Source organism: Homo sapiens, chromosome 8, assembly GCF_000001405.40.
Source record: "Homo sapiens chromosome 8, GRCh38.p14 Primary Assembly".
NCBI classification, from domain to species: Eukaryota; Metazoa; Chordata; class Mammalia; order Primates; family Hominidae; genus Homo; species Homo sapiens.
Window position 1 is genome coordinate 95,379,549 of NC_000008.11, and position 15,282 is coordinate 95,394,830.

At 42.7% G+C, this 15,282-nt stretch overlaps 1 long non-coding RNA gene across 9 annotated transcripts in view, besides 1 other annotated feature; it reads left to right on the forward strand.

The window, feature by feature from the left end:
- CFAP418-AS1 (CFAP418 antisense RNA 1) overlaps positions 1 to 15,282 on the forward strand; it is a 541,308-nt gene that overhangs the window by 110,713 nt on the left and 415,313 nt on the right. The gene's annotated exons all lie outside the window — the stretch shown is intronic.
- Positions 6,905 to 7,482: an enhancer, noted in NCBI's record as "NANOG hESC enhancer chr8:96398681-96399258 (GRCh37/hg19 assembly coordinates)". NCBI's record gives its function as "activates a minimal SCP1, AML or CMV promoter by ChIP-STARR-seq in naive H9 embryonic stem cells {active_cell/tissue: H9 hESC(naive)}" and the evidence as "EXISTENCE:reporter gene assay evidence [ECO:0000049][PMID:30033119]".

Here is a 15,282-nt window from a genome sequence, read left to right on the forward strand (position 1 = left end):
AAGAAATTTTTAAAAAAGCAAAAATAGGACATCTACTACAGGCTGTTGGCACTAGTTCCTTGCTGTCTAGACATCTTGGGGCACATGTGTACTGTGCTTTCCCTAACCAAGGGTTCCTGAACCAGCAATATCAGCATCACCTGGCAATTTGTTACGAATACAGACTCTGTCTCCACTCCAGAAACCCTGGGTGTGGCCAGTTGCTTGTGTTTTTACAAGCCCTCCAGGGGATTCTGATGCAATTTATGTTTGAGAAGCACTGCTAGAACCCCCTGGAAAGTTCTATGAATTGGGACCTTGGTTGTACCTCTCTAGGCTGCCCAGCTACTCCCTTTTTGGGCTAGCCTTAGCCTGTGGCCAGGTGTTTTTGGCACTAGTTTGTATGTTCTGAATCCTATACTTGTGTTGAGTTGTTGGCTCTGCTAACTGATGGGCTAGACACCTTTTGATGTGCTAGACACCAAATAGCTTCACAGAACTTAATTATTGAGGGTGGTTCATTTTCCCTGATTGGAATTAAATTTAGGTTAAATTTCACTTGCTTCTTTGAAAAAATGATGTAGACTTATTGTTTAGCATAAGCTACACAGCTTTCTTTTATTATATAGCCCAAGTGTCCATTTGTCTCTTAAGAGTCACCCTTCTTTAATATATTTGGGGTGCTTTATTGTTATTGTTAGGGCTATTATCTAAGGCATATCTTGTATGAAATCTTGCTTGAAGACTATTCTTGGGTTAGTAGGAATATGGATTACATTGTGAAGAGGTAAATATAAAATATATGGGATGGCATGGACTATATTGAAATAGGTTCAAGAAGAGTTAGCGTCATGAGACTGTGAAACTCTTAAGGTGAGGGGTATGCCTTATTTGCCTTTGTGTCTCATTATCTAGCACCGCGCCTGTCAAATGTCTGTTGAGCACCTACTATGCACTAGGATCTGAGGCTTACAACGATGAGCAAAACAGATGTGGTTCTTGCCCTCATAAAGTTATGATGATTTAGCAGAACATAGTACATTCTTTATTACTAAGGGAAACTAAGAGTTTCTGGGATTTCTTGGACTCAGGAGTTAATATTAGGGAGGATCACCTAATGAATTGGATGATGAAACTGGGTTAAAATGACACTTTAACATTTTTTGATAGCAGGTGCGAAAGTAACCCTAGTTTGAGTTTCTTAGAGAAGTCATCACTGTTGGCAAAGAGATGAAAATAAGCTGTATTACTTGGCATCTTGGGGTAACAGAAATGATGATGATAAGAGTGGCAGTCATAGTTAGTACATGCTAAGTGCTCATGATGTGCCAGGCAGGGTGCTAAGAGCTATGCAACCCTTATTCTATTAGTCTCATGAGCAGTGGACAAAGACTCTCATGCTGTTCTCCCGGCTCTGCCACTAACCTGCAGTGTGACTCTGGTAAATCACTTTGCTTCTCTGGGTCTCTGTGTTCTTGTCTATGAAGTGAGGTGTTTAGATTAAATGCTGTCTATGACTTTCAAGTCTATGATACCACTCTCTTTGCATGCCTTATTAACCGTCAGTAGAGAAATGTTCAGTTAGGCTTAAGTTTAGACTTCATTCACTTCTCTCATGTTTAATGCTCTAACACCCTGTTTGAGGCATGGATAATGCATGGAGATGCATCAAGCTTTGCTCATATACTATGGCACTGTATAGCGTCTACAGATGACATTTCTTAAACAGGGCCCCGAATTAGGAAGGTATATACATGACTATCTCTAGAACTATCCTGTTTTTTTAACTACTGAATTTACCAAATAGTTTTTCTTTTTATAAATAATAAAGTATTAGATATTACATTAAAAGAGTATGTTCATGATATCACATTATTTTGCTTATAAACAGACTATAGAACTTATGCTAAATTTGTGAGACGTGCAACAGAATGTTACGGCGTTCTTGAGCCACCACTCTTTTACAAATTTGGCATCTACAGGCCTCAAAAGGCTGAAATGTTTTAAATTTACTTACACCCTGCAGTTTCCTTAGGGAACTGTTTTCCATAAGCTAATGAGGCGCTGGTGCAAGGCCTCTCTGTTATTCCTGGCAGGCACACTGAGACACATCGCCTGCTGCTCTGCTCTTTTCCTCAGTAGTCTACTGCAAATAATAAATATGGGGAAATACATCATCCCTTTGAATGTGGGAGCCAAGCTGCAGGGCTGCCAAGGTTAAAACAAAGCAATTGCAAGCTTGGAGCTCGTTCATGTCCTGTACCACATGTGCCCATACTTTAGGGGCACCCCGAATGTGGCCTTTATCATGTCAATTTGCTTATTCTGAGCACAAAGTTAGTCTTTTGAAATCTACTCTATAAAACAGGTCTTTCCAAAGAAGTTGTGTTTTGTGGATTAAATTCTATCCTGAGGTCAGGGAACTTGTCTTCTGGATTATCAAATAGTGAGGATTTATCGAGCACCTCCAAGGTGCCTAGCCCTATGTTGATGTGAGCCATGAAAAGAGGGAAGCAGAGTATACATCTTGCTTTCACGCGTGGTCATGGTCAGTCTGGAGAGGGTGTTTCAGATTACAAAGGCTTCTCTGACCAGGGGTGGCAACGTCATGTGTCCACCCAACTTCCTGGCAGAGGCCTGGGTGCACCCTTGGTACACAGCAAGCTTCCAATGACAGAATGAACGAGTAGGCGTTGCTGCTTTGTTTCTGGTCTTCCCTGAGAGCAATCTAGTGATGGAAGTTACACTGATATTAACATCAGCACAGCCTGAGGACTAAACAGAAGTGGGTTAAATAGCCACAGGGTTTTCTTAGCCCCCAAACTCAGCCCCTAAAGCATGCAGATATTCTCACCTCCAGCTGTCCTTTGATATCACCCTCGTCCAGCTTAACTCCATATGGGCAATTAAGTCTGACTGATTTAATTGGACACGTTTCCCCCTTCTCTTTACTGCTTTGTTTTCTCTGCTTGTCACTCAGAGCTGGTTGAGGTCAACCCACAAGTGTTTCTTGAGTTGGGGGAGGCAGTAAAGGGATTTAAAAAAATCTATTTGGTGGCTCATGAGAAATGGTCTCTTCAGTAATTAAGCAGATGTTTCTGCCTTTGCTATAGTTCTTAGGTGGTCTTACGTTCCAGAATAGACGGTAGGCCTGATGATTTAGAAAGTCCTTTTCCAGTTCTGGAACTTTACCAGAACCATGCTATCCTTCATGTCTAGAGGACCCTGGCATACCAGTCAGGCCTGATCCTCAACAAGGATATGAAGTGGGTGAAGCTCGTCTTGTGCCTGCCCACGAAGGTACCCTCTTCTCCCACATAGCTTCCTGATTGCTCCCCACCCCCCAATCTATCTTTAGATTTTGCCCTTAGTTGGATGTCCCTCAGGGTATTATTAGAAAACCAGATTGTTAGCTAATAAGGGCTCAAAGAATTTAGAAAAGATAAGAACCAGCAAAAGGGTGGGTAAGGGAGATAAGCCCAGGTTCCGTTGCAAATTAGTCAATGTGCCTATGGCCTTTGGATCTATTTGGGGCACACAGGGGCCTATTCTAGACACAAAGTCAAATTAGACATAGCCTGGCATTCATTTCTCCCCTGCTTCTCTGAGACTGCAGACCTGAATGCTGGAAATCGCTTCATTCTGCTGCTGTTGGGAACAGTCATTTCTACTTAGGTTTTCCATATAGACAGGTGTGACTGGAGAGAAAATCAGAAACTAGGGGGTGCTGTGAGATTGTTTCTCCCTGGCCTAGATATTTCACATATACTACCTCTATAATTATATATTTAAGACAACTTTATGAGGTGTATACCTTTTTCGCCATTTACAGATAATGAAACTGAAAATCTGAGAATATAAGTAGCTGACCCAAAGCTCACAGCTAATATTGGCAGAGCCAAGATACATACCCAGGCTGGTATTTTTGCCCCTTACTAAACTATGGTGCCTTGTTCAATCTATCAGCTCTGTGAGTTTTCTGGGCAATTGATTTAATTCTTTGCTGACCTTTGCCCGGTAGACCATCTGGTTGTGTTCCTAGGGCTCCTTTTCTGACTGAGCTCCCACAGCTCCAGGCCTCTGCAATATTCTTCCCTCTGCTTGAAATCCCTTTCCTGTCTTGGTCATTGGGAGAATGTTAGTGTTCCTCAAATCTACCTCCACAGGACCCTGTGTGTGACTCTAATAAGGCTGGCATCTGTCGTGCTGTACTGTCCTTTTTTGTATACATGTCTGTCTCTTTAGCATATGAAGTCGCAAGTTTCATGAAGGCCTTTTTAGACCATGCCTGATGTGGCAGATATTCAGTAATGGTTGGATAAATGAATGGTGTAGAAAGACAAAATTTTCATCACTCCTCTCTGTGTTTCAGGAGAACATGCAACTAATTCTTGCCTAAGCATGGGAGAAAATTGAGCCCAGTGGATGTTACTATCTGTTTTAAGGCAAAGGCCAGCAGTGGACTGGAGGCATCTGGGTAGGTTGTTGGTCAAAGTTCTTGTGCAGTTACGGCACCAAGGAGGAGCAATGATAGATTGTCCTCTGCTCAATTAGCAGTTCCTTTGGGTGATAAAATTGTCCTTAAAATGGAAATGCCTCCTGGAGGGGTTAAGTCTGCTGATGCTCCAGTGATATTAATTTTACTAATATTAGCTATTGTTATCTTAATAATTATTTCCATGTTATATTCAAACTACTTTCAGAGAGTCTGAGGTGATCTCTTTGAGGGAAACAGATTGAGGAGTGGGATGGAGGATTAGTTTTTAGGACAGAGAAATCCTGTGGGGAAGACATCATTTCAGGGAGACCTGTTCTCCCCATAATGAGGTTGTAAGTAGCTAGAAGCAATATGAGGTCATGGGGGGGCTGTGATGGTGTGAGAGCCCTCTGCAGAGAATGGAACAGGGAGGATGGAGAGAGAGGGAAGATCAGAGAACAGTGCTATCTTTCTGATGGTGAAGACAACTTTGCAAGGGAAGATTCCCTCCCACAGTTGATGCCTGGGTCAGAGCAAGGCTTGCCAGAGAAATGACAATATTCATCTGTGATTGTGAAAAATTGCCTTTGAAGAGGAGGTCCTATGCTGGGTGTATATGGCACCTTGCACTTAGGAGGTCTTAATGAACATAAAACTAACCTGTGCCCAAAAGATGCCTCAATTAACTGAAACATAACTCAGCAGAAGCCCCAATTAACTGATATATTTGGGACATCTGCAATTAGCAGAAAGCAGCAAGAGAAAGCAAGCAGCATCTAGGATTTATAGGGGATGCTATAGGGGCCAAATTTTAGCTTTAGCAAATTGTCTACACTGCCTACAGCTTACTAACAAGAACTAATTTCCAGAATAAGTCTGGAGTCTTGGAAGATTCTCATTCATCGAAGTTAGATCATCTGGTCAAGGTGAAGCTGGCAGGTGATGAGATTGTTCATTGAACAAATTCATTGTAACTTGCACACAAACTGAGTGGTTTACCCACTCAAAGAAGCTAATGTAGAAACCTGTACTATGGTTTTATCCAGGTAATTCCCAGGGTCCTGTGTCATTGTCCCTCAGGGCCTGTGATACTTTCTTCTAAATACCTCCAATGGATTCAAATCCTTTTCCATTGACAGTGGGTGGGATTTGTGAAAACATTCCACTGCCTCTGAGTTTCAAGTTTAAGGAAGAAGATAGCTGATCACGCTGTATATCACTTTTGATACAGCAGAATGCATGGCTTTGACAAGTCATGGAGATGCTCACACCTGGATTAATCACTATGATTAACTCAGCCCACCAGAGAACCCAAGGCTCCCCTGTGGTCCAGGAAGGGCATATTCTGAAAAAACCCTCCTCAAATTGTGTGTCTGCCCTGCCCCAGCAGCACTGTTGGGGTGCCTTTGATGGCAGCCCACACAGCAGCTGATATCAAGACCTTTTCTGCACATCTTTTTTCTTTCTCTTTCTTTTTTTGAGATGGAGTTTCGCTCTGTTGCCCAGGCTGGAGTGCAGTAGCATGATCACGGCTCACTGCAATCTCTGCCTCCCGGGTTCAAGTGATTCTCCTGCCTCAGCCTCCTGAGTAGCTGGGATTACAGGTGCCCGCCACCATGCCCAGCTAATTTTTTGTAGAGATGGGGTTTCACCATGTTAGCCAGGATGGTCTCGATCTCTTGACCTCATGGAAGCACAGTCCAGGGGAGATCTTGGACTGACACTAAGGAGTATTCATGGACTCCTATTGAATCAGTGGGGAGAAGGTGTTTTGCTTGCAGAGTAGTGAAAGAGCAGTGAGACATGGGCTTTGGGTTTGCAGAGCTAGATTAGAATTCTGACACTACCTGGCCCTTGAGAATCATGAGATCCCTTGGAGCCTCAGTTTTCCCACATTAGATGGACATAACAACCATAGAGGGTGATTAAGAGACTGCAAGAGAATACATGGAAAATGCCTAGTGCATAATAGAATCTTCCTGTGACTAACTCCCACTTGCCCTTAATAGTTTTGCTTAGACATGCCTTCCTTCAGGAAATCTCCTCCTCCTAAGTCTGTTAGGCACGTCTTCCATAGATACTCTCCTTTCTCACCACTGCCCTTAAGACACTTCAAAGCATGTGTTTTCTAACCTCTCCACACTAGGTAAACTCTCTATTGTTCCCTGATACCTAGCACAGTGCCTGACACACTGTGAGTTCTTTGTACTCATTTGTTGAATGAATGGAGTAAATGAATAAATGGCAGACAGTATGTGTTCCAGTCATTTGAGGATTGAGAGAAGAGCCTTTCTTTTTTTAGCAATCTGGAGCTAAGATTTTTATGGGTCTAATTTAGTGCTGCCAAACCATGGAGCTCCAAGAATGGTTACCTCGCTGAGGCAGCCTGACCCCAGACCCACTAATTCCTTTTGCCCTGGACACAGCTAGTAGTAAAGGTGGTCACCTATGACAGGTGAGTCAAGAGGGGGAAATGACACTTCTTTTGCTATTACAAGTATTAAAACACTTGGTGACTGTGGTCAGTGGTCAATAGAGTTGATTGAAGAAAACCTAAATGTTTTGAGTCTGCTTTAGAGGTTAGTGAGTAGAGCTGTTTATTTCAGGCTTGATTCTACTCATTAGGTTGAGAGAGGGGTAAGGGATACTGCTGTCAGACTCATATAGCTATGAAGGGTTTTGCTTTAGCCCTGGGCATGTCAGGAATGTCAGACATGTTGATCTGTGCCTGCCACCTAGCAGTATGTGTGGGGAATGGATGTGGAGTCAGAAGACCTGAGTTTATGTGACGTCTCACGCCCCTGCTGGCTGATTCCCTAACCTTTCTGACCACCCAATGTTTCAGAGTCAGTTTCTTTGTCTGTAAAGTGGACACAGTGTACTGATTTCAGGCTTGTGTGGATGAAATTAATGCTATATCAAGGTAAGAAGTCATGTAAGATAATAATCTCTGGCAGTGGCACAAGTCGAACACACTGAGCATTGATGGGAGCACTTTCTGTCATGGCAGGTATGGAGAAACTTAGCACTCCTCTATTGCTCTTTCCTGTGATGAAATCAGCAAGCTAGCCCCAGTTGGCATATATGTAAATAGAAAAATAATATGGCCATATGGCCAAAGTAAACAGAAGTGGGAAATTGCATTTGTATAATTTAAAAATAGTTTATTTTTTTAAAATTTAAGTCTTTTGCTTTCATTCAAGACATTTCCTCTTGATTGGAGTGGATTTTTTGTTGTTGTTAATTGTACTTTGCTTTGAGCTTTTCCTATTTATTTCAAGACCAGATAACCATTCTTTTGTTGACATAACCACTGACCTTATTAAAAGTTTGTCCAGATAAATCACGATTTTTAAGATAAGAGAGACACAAACACAAACACGGAAAACTGGCCACCACATGGAGGCTGGGATAAATAAATGCTCTACAATTGGTTAATAAGGGCACATCTTGGCCTACAGTTTTGATTTGTCTTTTCAATCCATTTGCAGCCTCACTGGGAAATGGGGAAGGGCTGAGCATTTACTTGAAGATTTGCACAGAGTGTTACATTTTTAAGAAATTTCCAATGCATTTTGATTCAGACAAGCTTTTGTTGGCTGAGAAATTACATGATGCACCCAAAATGCTTTTGCAGAATGTGGTATTGAGTGCCATTTTATTCCCACGAACTAGAAGTTCAATACAAAAGGCCAAGATTGAGAAATGCATTCTGACATTTTATATACTTACTTATACCTCACTTACGACTGAGCCTCTCCTGAAAGTTAAAAGTTTAAATTTTCCAAGTATATTTGGGGAGGGGAGTGGAGAAACTCTCAAGGCCTAAGAGGTACAGAGGCATCTCATTTGTGGGGCAGTTCAGACTTTCCATTTCTTTATTATGAGTGCATGATGGAAAGCTCTCTAATGTTAGAAGTAAATAATGTCCTTTAAGCTATAGCACTCAGATTAGTTTAAATACTGTGCATTTGTAACCACAGCCAGATTATTTGATAACACTTGTCTCTGTCTATTATCAGAGAGCACTTGGAATGGATTTCTCCCATTTTATTAAGTTTTGTTTCATGAAAGGGGGTAGATGTTTTAAAATATGATAACGAGTTTATAAAACTTCAGTTTCAGATGTAAAAATTGGTTGTTTGTTGATGAGAAGAGAGCATGCCCAAAGTAGAAAGGCTTTTATTACTACCATTCAGGTTTACCTGCTTTTAAGCAGCAACAGATGAGTCTTTTTGGTACTAGATAGGGAAGAGTGAATGTCCTGTGTTGATATAGAATTGTTTTAGTTATCTGTCCCTGTCTTAATTTCTCTGCATATTTAGTGTAATTATCTTCTTGATCTATGTTGTCTTAGGATGCAAGGGGGAATTTGAGCATCCTTCCTGCAATCTTTCCCTCCTATCAGAGTCTCAGAATCCACTCTTCTATTTCCATTTGACTAAATCATAGGCATCTAAGAGGGAGCCACCTCCGCCCCCTACTAACTAGCAGAATAAGACTGACCAGTTTCCAACTAATCAATTACTTGAGTTACCATGTCCGGCAGATTTCTACTTTGCTGTATCTCTCAACTCTGTTGCCTTGTTCATTTCCAGCACCACTCTGCCAGTCCAGGCTTTGATCCGCACATAGCTGGACTAACTGCTCATCTACCTAATGTGGCTCATTCTCCATAGCACTATCAGATTAATTTTCCTAATGTGGCACTTGACCCCTCCTACTTTCTGCTTAAAGCACTGCCTTCTAAATAGCTAAGTGCCAACCTCTCCATCTGGCATTTAAGCTGCTCACATGATGGCTCCAAACTATCACACAATCATTGAAGAAAACACTTAGAGCACACTGATGGTTCTGGGGACATAGTGGCAAACAGGACAGCAAGTTGTCCCTGTCATCCATCATGGATCTTATATTCTAATGAGGGAGATAGATTTTAAATAGATTATGATGAAATTAATTATTTGAAACTCATGTGAAGAACTGCAGAGGAGAAGCATCATGTGCTTGGAAACTGTGCTATGGGAACGTGAAGTCAGGGGAGGCAAGCTGAACTCAAGAAGCTGTTCTGAAGTGTTAGCTGAAGCAAATTAGATGGAGTATGGCTTGGGGAGGGGGGAGACTGGGGGAGCAAAGGGGAGGACCCAGGGAACAACCTGTGGGAAGGAGTAAAGTACACATGTGAGGAAGTCACAGAAGCCTTAGACTAGGGAAGCAAGGGGCAGGGCCAATCCTAGAGAGGACAGTTGGCTCCATAGGCCTGGAAAAGATTTTGGACTTTCTTCTCTGAGTAGTGAGAAACTGAGTAGGATGTGACATGGCCAGATAGGAGTTTTTAAAAGTCACTCTGCAATGGGAGAAATGTCTAGAGGCAGGCCTGGGTGCACGCAGGAAGACCAGTTAGGAAGCTGTTACAGAAACCCAGACAAGAGACTACTGTTGCTTCGTGAGGGTGGTAACAGTACAGGGGTGGAGGAGAGTCAAATTTGAGACATATTTTGGAGGATTTGGTGATTGTTTAGACATGCAAGTAAGGGAGCATTAGAATGACTGTCAGGGTGGTGGTAACATTCTCCAAACTACGGAATACTGGAGGAAGGCTGGATTTGGGGAGAAATGTCATGTTTAGTTGTTACTTTCTATAAGACATCCAAATAATGACTTGTAGTAAGCAAATAAATCAAAAGGCAGTGTTGTGTAGTGGTTAAAAGCATGGTCTTAGCAGCTCATGTGACCAGCATCTGTGCAACCTTGGGAAAGTTACCTAACCTTTCTGTGCCTTACAGTTTCTTCATTTGTAAAATGGGGAGATCATAAGTTTAGCATACACAAAAACTGAGATTGGTGCCTGGTACAGAGCGAGTACTATTTAAATGTTAGTCATTATTACTATTATTTATATACAAGTCCAAAGCTCAAAGAAGTCTGGGCTGCTCATATAAACTTGGGGCTTGTTCATAAATAGTAAGTGAAGACACATGTGGGGACAAGGCTGTCTTGGGAGTGCGTATAGAGTGAGGGAGGAAAAGGGCCCAGTTCAGGTCTCCAGGAATCTGGGAGTGGACTGAGGAGGGTAAGCGAGCCAAGGCGCTGGGGACTTCGTGGAACAGAGAAAGGGAGAGAGGAGAAATTCAGAAGCAGACAGAAGAGTGTGTTTTGAGGAGTAGAGAGTTATTAGCAGTGTCAAATGCTGCTAGGAGTGCCTTAATGCTAAGACTGGAAATTGTGTGATTTAGCAAGCTGTTGAAAACTTTCCTGAGTTGTAGGTGGCAAAGTAGAGGTTGAGGACAACTTGAAGAGTGAGGAAAGAGGGACACATTAAGTGAAAATGAATTATTTGAGAAGTTGGTTTTTCAGAGATGCAAACTTCAGCCAGGAACATAGGGCTACCTCCTGGTCAAGTGTAAGCCAATCTATAAGGACTACTAGCCCTGAAGAGAGTCTACATCCACTTTGGCTTGTGACAAAGACAGCCATAACCCCTTCCCTCAGTCATGGCCTTCAATGGGATGGAGGAGTTGGCCTCAGAGGTCTCCTGGATTTCAGGGTTCTGGCAGTGGTGAAAGTGGCATGTGTTAGCCAGACTGCTGTAGGCGTCAGTGGTCTTGACTTTGGCAGTGGCCAACAAAAAGGTCCCACCACATGAAGAAGTTGATGAAACATGAAGGATTGGGGAACATGCAGCCAGGCTCTTTGTGAAGAGTGTGCTGGACCTCTGACTTAGAAGGAACCTGTCCTCCAGACTATGAAGAGTGGACTTTGAGTCTGGGCTCAAATGCTTGTGTTTGGGAAGACCATTCTTCTAACGTGGGTTTAGAGGAAACTCCAGATCAAAGTAACACTTCATAAAGGTGTGTACCATCACCCTGGGAGAGGAAACCTGGGAGAGCAATGAGGTTCGGGTTGAAAATCCATGGTTTGTGGGAAAATTCTGCTTTTGGGAAAACTTTCTTCTAATGTTTTTGACTGCAAAGGGTGCAAGCTGCACATGCTGTGACTTGCTAATGATTGCTGGGATGTGGAGGTGAACCATCTTGGGTCATCTGATCATGATGCCAGGCCACTAATGGGTTCCAGGCAGGCTGGATTCATAATCGTGAGGTTGGATCTCATAAGGGAGAGAGTCACTGAGATTGATGATATTCACTTTCTATAGCTTCCTTCCTCAACCCTGCCCCAAACATGACACCTTTTGTGAGAGAAAGAAGCAAATAATAGGAAGCAAAACATATAGTCAGTTATCATTATTCATAGTAGTTAGATAGTATAAAGTTATGTGAACACTGATTTAGTGAATACTAAACCATTGAGCCTAGGAGAAATACAGGGTTAGGTTCCTGTGAGCCTTTGGTCATAACACTTTCATCAACTGATCAATGCATAGCCTTGTTTTATGTGTGTTTCTGTTTAAAGACACTTATGCAATATTAATATATATTGTTGATTAACATTGAACCCGTGGCCAGCAGGATACCACTCATGTAGAACAAAGCTTATTTAACAAGATATTTTCTCTGTAAGGCATATCAGAGTCTTCTTGTGCTTAGGAAAGTTATACAACACTACATTTGGGGGGGCGCATTTTAAGCAACAAAGTTACCAAGAAAAGGCACAAAAAATGCAAACCATATGGCACCAACTATGCCATGAAAGGACACTGGTTTCCAGCAGGAGAGCTGAGACAAGAAGGCGGAGAGCTGAGACAAGAAGGCAGAGCACCACCTTGTTTGACCTCAGCTGGGAACCTGCACATCAGGCCTCTTAGGTTTTTCACCTGCTCTGTGCTTGCACGTGCTTGTAAATGACTGCAAAAGCAGGGCAAATCATTATTTTGGGATTACAGATAAATTTTAGTGACTATATGAATTTCAGAAATAATGAGGATCTGCTGTATATTAGCCTTTTGATGTTCATGGCTGTCTATAATTTGGCTAAAAGTTGATTATTCTAGATGCCATTTAACTTGCCTTCTTACACTGAGATTCCATGATTGTCTGAAGAGTCAAAAACCAATCAGTTCAAATGTCTGTACCTTTTATACCTAAAATGCAGCACAGTGGGGAGCTGTGCAGAAAGATGATGGACATTCTCAGGTTTGCTCTTCTCATGGCTGCAGGATGTTTGCGGCAGTGCTGGACATCCCATCTGGACACAACCAAAGAGGAACTGTTTCTTCTTGTTCTGTTAGTGAAAAATCCTTCCCTAAAACATTCCAAGAGATTTGCTCCCACATCTCATTGGCTAGGAATATGTCACATGTCTATCCATTCACCGGCAAGGGTAACAAGACCCCCATCATTGGCACAAACCAATCCTATTTCACCCCCTGGAGCTAGAGCTGCACCAACTTCTGAAGCACATGGCTTTGTAGAGAAAGTGATTTTGAACAAAATTGGGGCTCTGATGAGAGGAAAAGGGAAATGGATTGGGGATAATCAGACTGTAGTGTCTACCATACTTAGTAAAGGAATTTTGCATTACTATATGAAAAACCTTTTAATCTCAAATTGAATGTGTGCTTTATTTTTTGCTAGAGTTTCCAGCACCCAGCAGACTGTCAGGCCAATTCCTAGACACTTCTTTCTGGAGGGAATCTTCAGAGGGTTGGTTTTTCTTCAGACACATATGAAAGAACTTGTGATTAGAATCATGAGGGAAAAACTGTGGGTGAGAACTTAAGGGACTTAATCTTGCTATGGTAGAATAAAGTGGGGTGCTGATTCATTGCTACTACTCCCTGTCTGATTGCCTACCTTTAGAGTTGGGCTGATCTTTGTTGATTGCCTGACCAATAGATTGTAGTGAAAGTAAAGTTCTGGGACTTCTGAGGCTAGGTCATAAGAAATGTGTCAACTTTGTTCAAGACCTCTTGGAATACTTGTTCTTGGAATCTATCCACTATGTTGTGATGAAGTCCAAGTACCCCATGGAGAAGAACCAAAGCTCCTAGATCCCAAACTGGTTAAGCTCCCAGTTAATAGCCAGCATCAGCTTGCTAGATATGTGTGTGTGCCATCTTGGAAATATACCCTCCAGCCCCAGTGAGCTTCCCCAGCTGTCATTTCATGGAACAGAGATGATCTATCTCTGCCGAGTTCTAGCCTAAATGCAGATTCATGAACAACATAAGTGATTATTTTTGTTTTAAACCTCTATATTTTGGGGTGGTTTGTTACTCAGCCATAGATAACCAGAACATGTACTGCAAGAGAAAGCAAGACAGACTCAAAACTGCAATAATTCCAGCTGGATGCTTCAGAAACCAAGAGGCCTTTAGTTAGACTTCCATTGATCACCCTAGCCCCAGTGTGGTGCTCCACAACCCTTATCAAGTGAATGAATGGCCATTTTTCCCCTTATACCTTCAGAATATGCAGGGAATAAGAAGAAACTTTCAGGCTGTTCTTTTCTAGGAATATGATTTCAAGCTGTAGTTTTTTTTCTGTTTTTTTAGAACATTCAGAAAAATCCTAGAATCGAAGGGTTAAAAGGGAGCAGGTGCAGCTTGTCACCCTGCCCTAGGGTTACTTGGCACTTCATTCATAAGCTTTCCAGCAAGGATGCTTTAAGCCTCTTCTTGTATTGCGTTTGCTAATGTCCTGTTAGCCTAAGTGAGAGACATGGCCAAGCTCAGCTTCCAGGGTAGAGAAATAGACCTCTTCTTGATGGGATTGATGGGAGGAACTGCAAATGATTGGGACTTGTTTTGGCCAATCTATAATACCTATATGGGAGTCTATAATTCCCAAAGTGCCATGATGCTAAGTAACCTCCAAGGACGTGGAAAGAGCACTGACAGGTGTCAGAAGAGAGTCTAGTGCCTGTGCTGCCAATTTTTTTTTTCCTGTGGAGCCTTAGAAAAGTCAACTCACCTTCTCTACCCCACTCCAGATGCAGGAACTGAAGCACATGCAAACTGTTAAGCTCAGTAATCGCTAAGGTCCCTTCCAGTACTCCAATTTTATCTTTTTTTCCACAGCAGAGGAGTCAGGTTCAAAGTACACATTATGGTAACTAAAAACATACTCGAGTGTGTTGTTTTATGGCAGTGCAGGGGCACCTCCTGACCAGCCAAACCCTGAGGCAGGACTCGGAACGAACCAGGCAGTTGCCAGTGCCAAGGGCCAGCGCAGCTGTGGCCACTTCCCTCTCCTTTCAAGTTTGACTCGGGTGAGTGGGAGGTGGAAATCATTTTTATTTCTGGTCTGCTTCCTGCTGATTGTGAGTCTTCTGTTCGTGCCCTGTGCACACTGAGTCTCACCTCCACGGTCCTATGTAGAGCCGGTTTCTCCTTTTACAGGTGTTTTCTTTTGCAGAGGTGGTGGATTGATGTGGCCACATTTTCCAAATACAAATGAGCCAGCATGGAAGGAGCCCTTGAAAGTAGAGTGCTTGGAGCCAAGCCCTGGAACTGTGGGGTGCCCCAGCCTCTTGGGGCCGCTGTCACTTTGCTTCTCCTTGCTTTGCCAGTGAGGTGGCAATGGTGATGATTATCCACTTTAAGAAAGCAGCGGTCAAAAACTTGAGGGGAGAAGACATCAGGAATAGTGTCCTCTGGGGATGGGGGCAGAATTGTGAATTTTGTCTTTCCCCTACAGAAACAGCTAGAATGATGAGAGGTTATGTGGCTTTTCACATCCTCACAGCTCCCATCGCACACCTCTCCTCACAGATGCATCCCAGCAGCCTGAATACAACCCTCTTAGTGGCCTCTTTCCCTCCAGCCTCCCCATATTTCCTTACAAACAGAACCACTGGCAGAGAAAGCACTGGAAGGAAAAAGGAGCCCCAGAAGAGCAGCCTCCGTGCCTAAGGTGTGGAGAAGA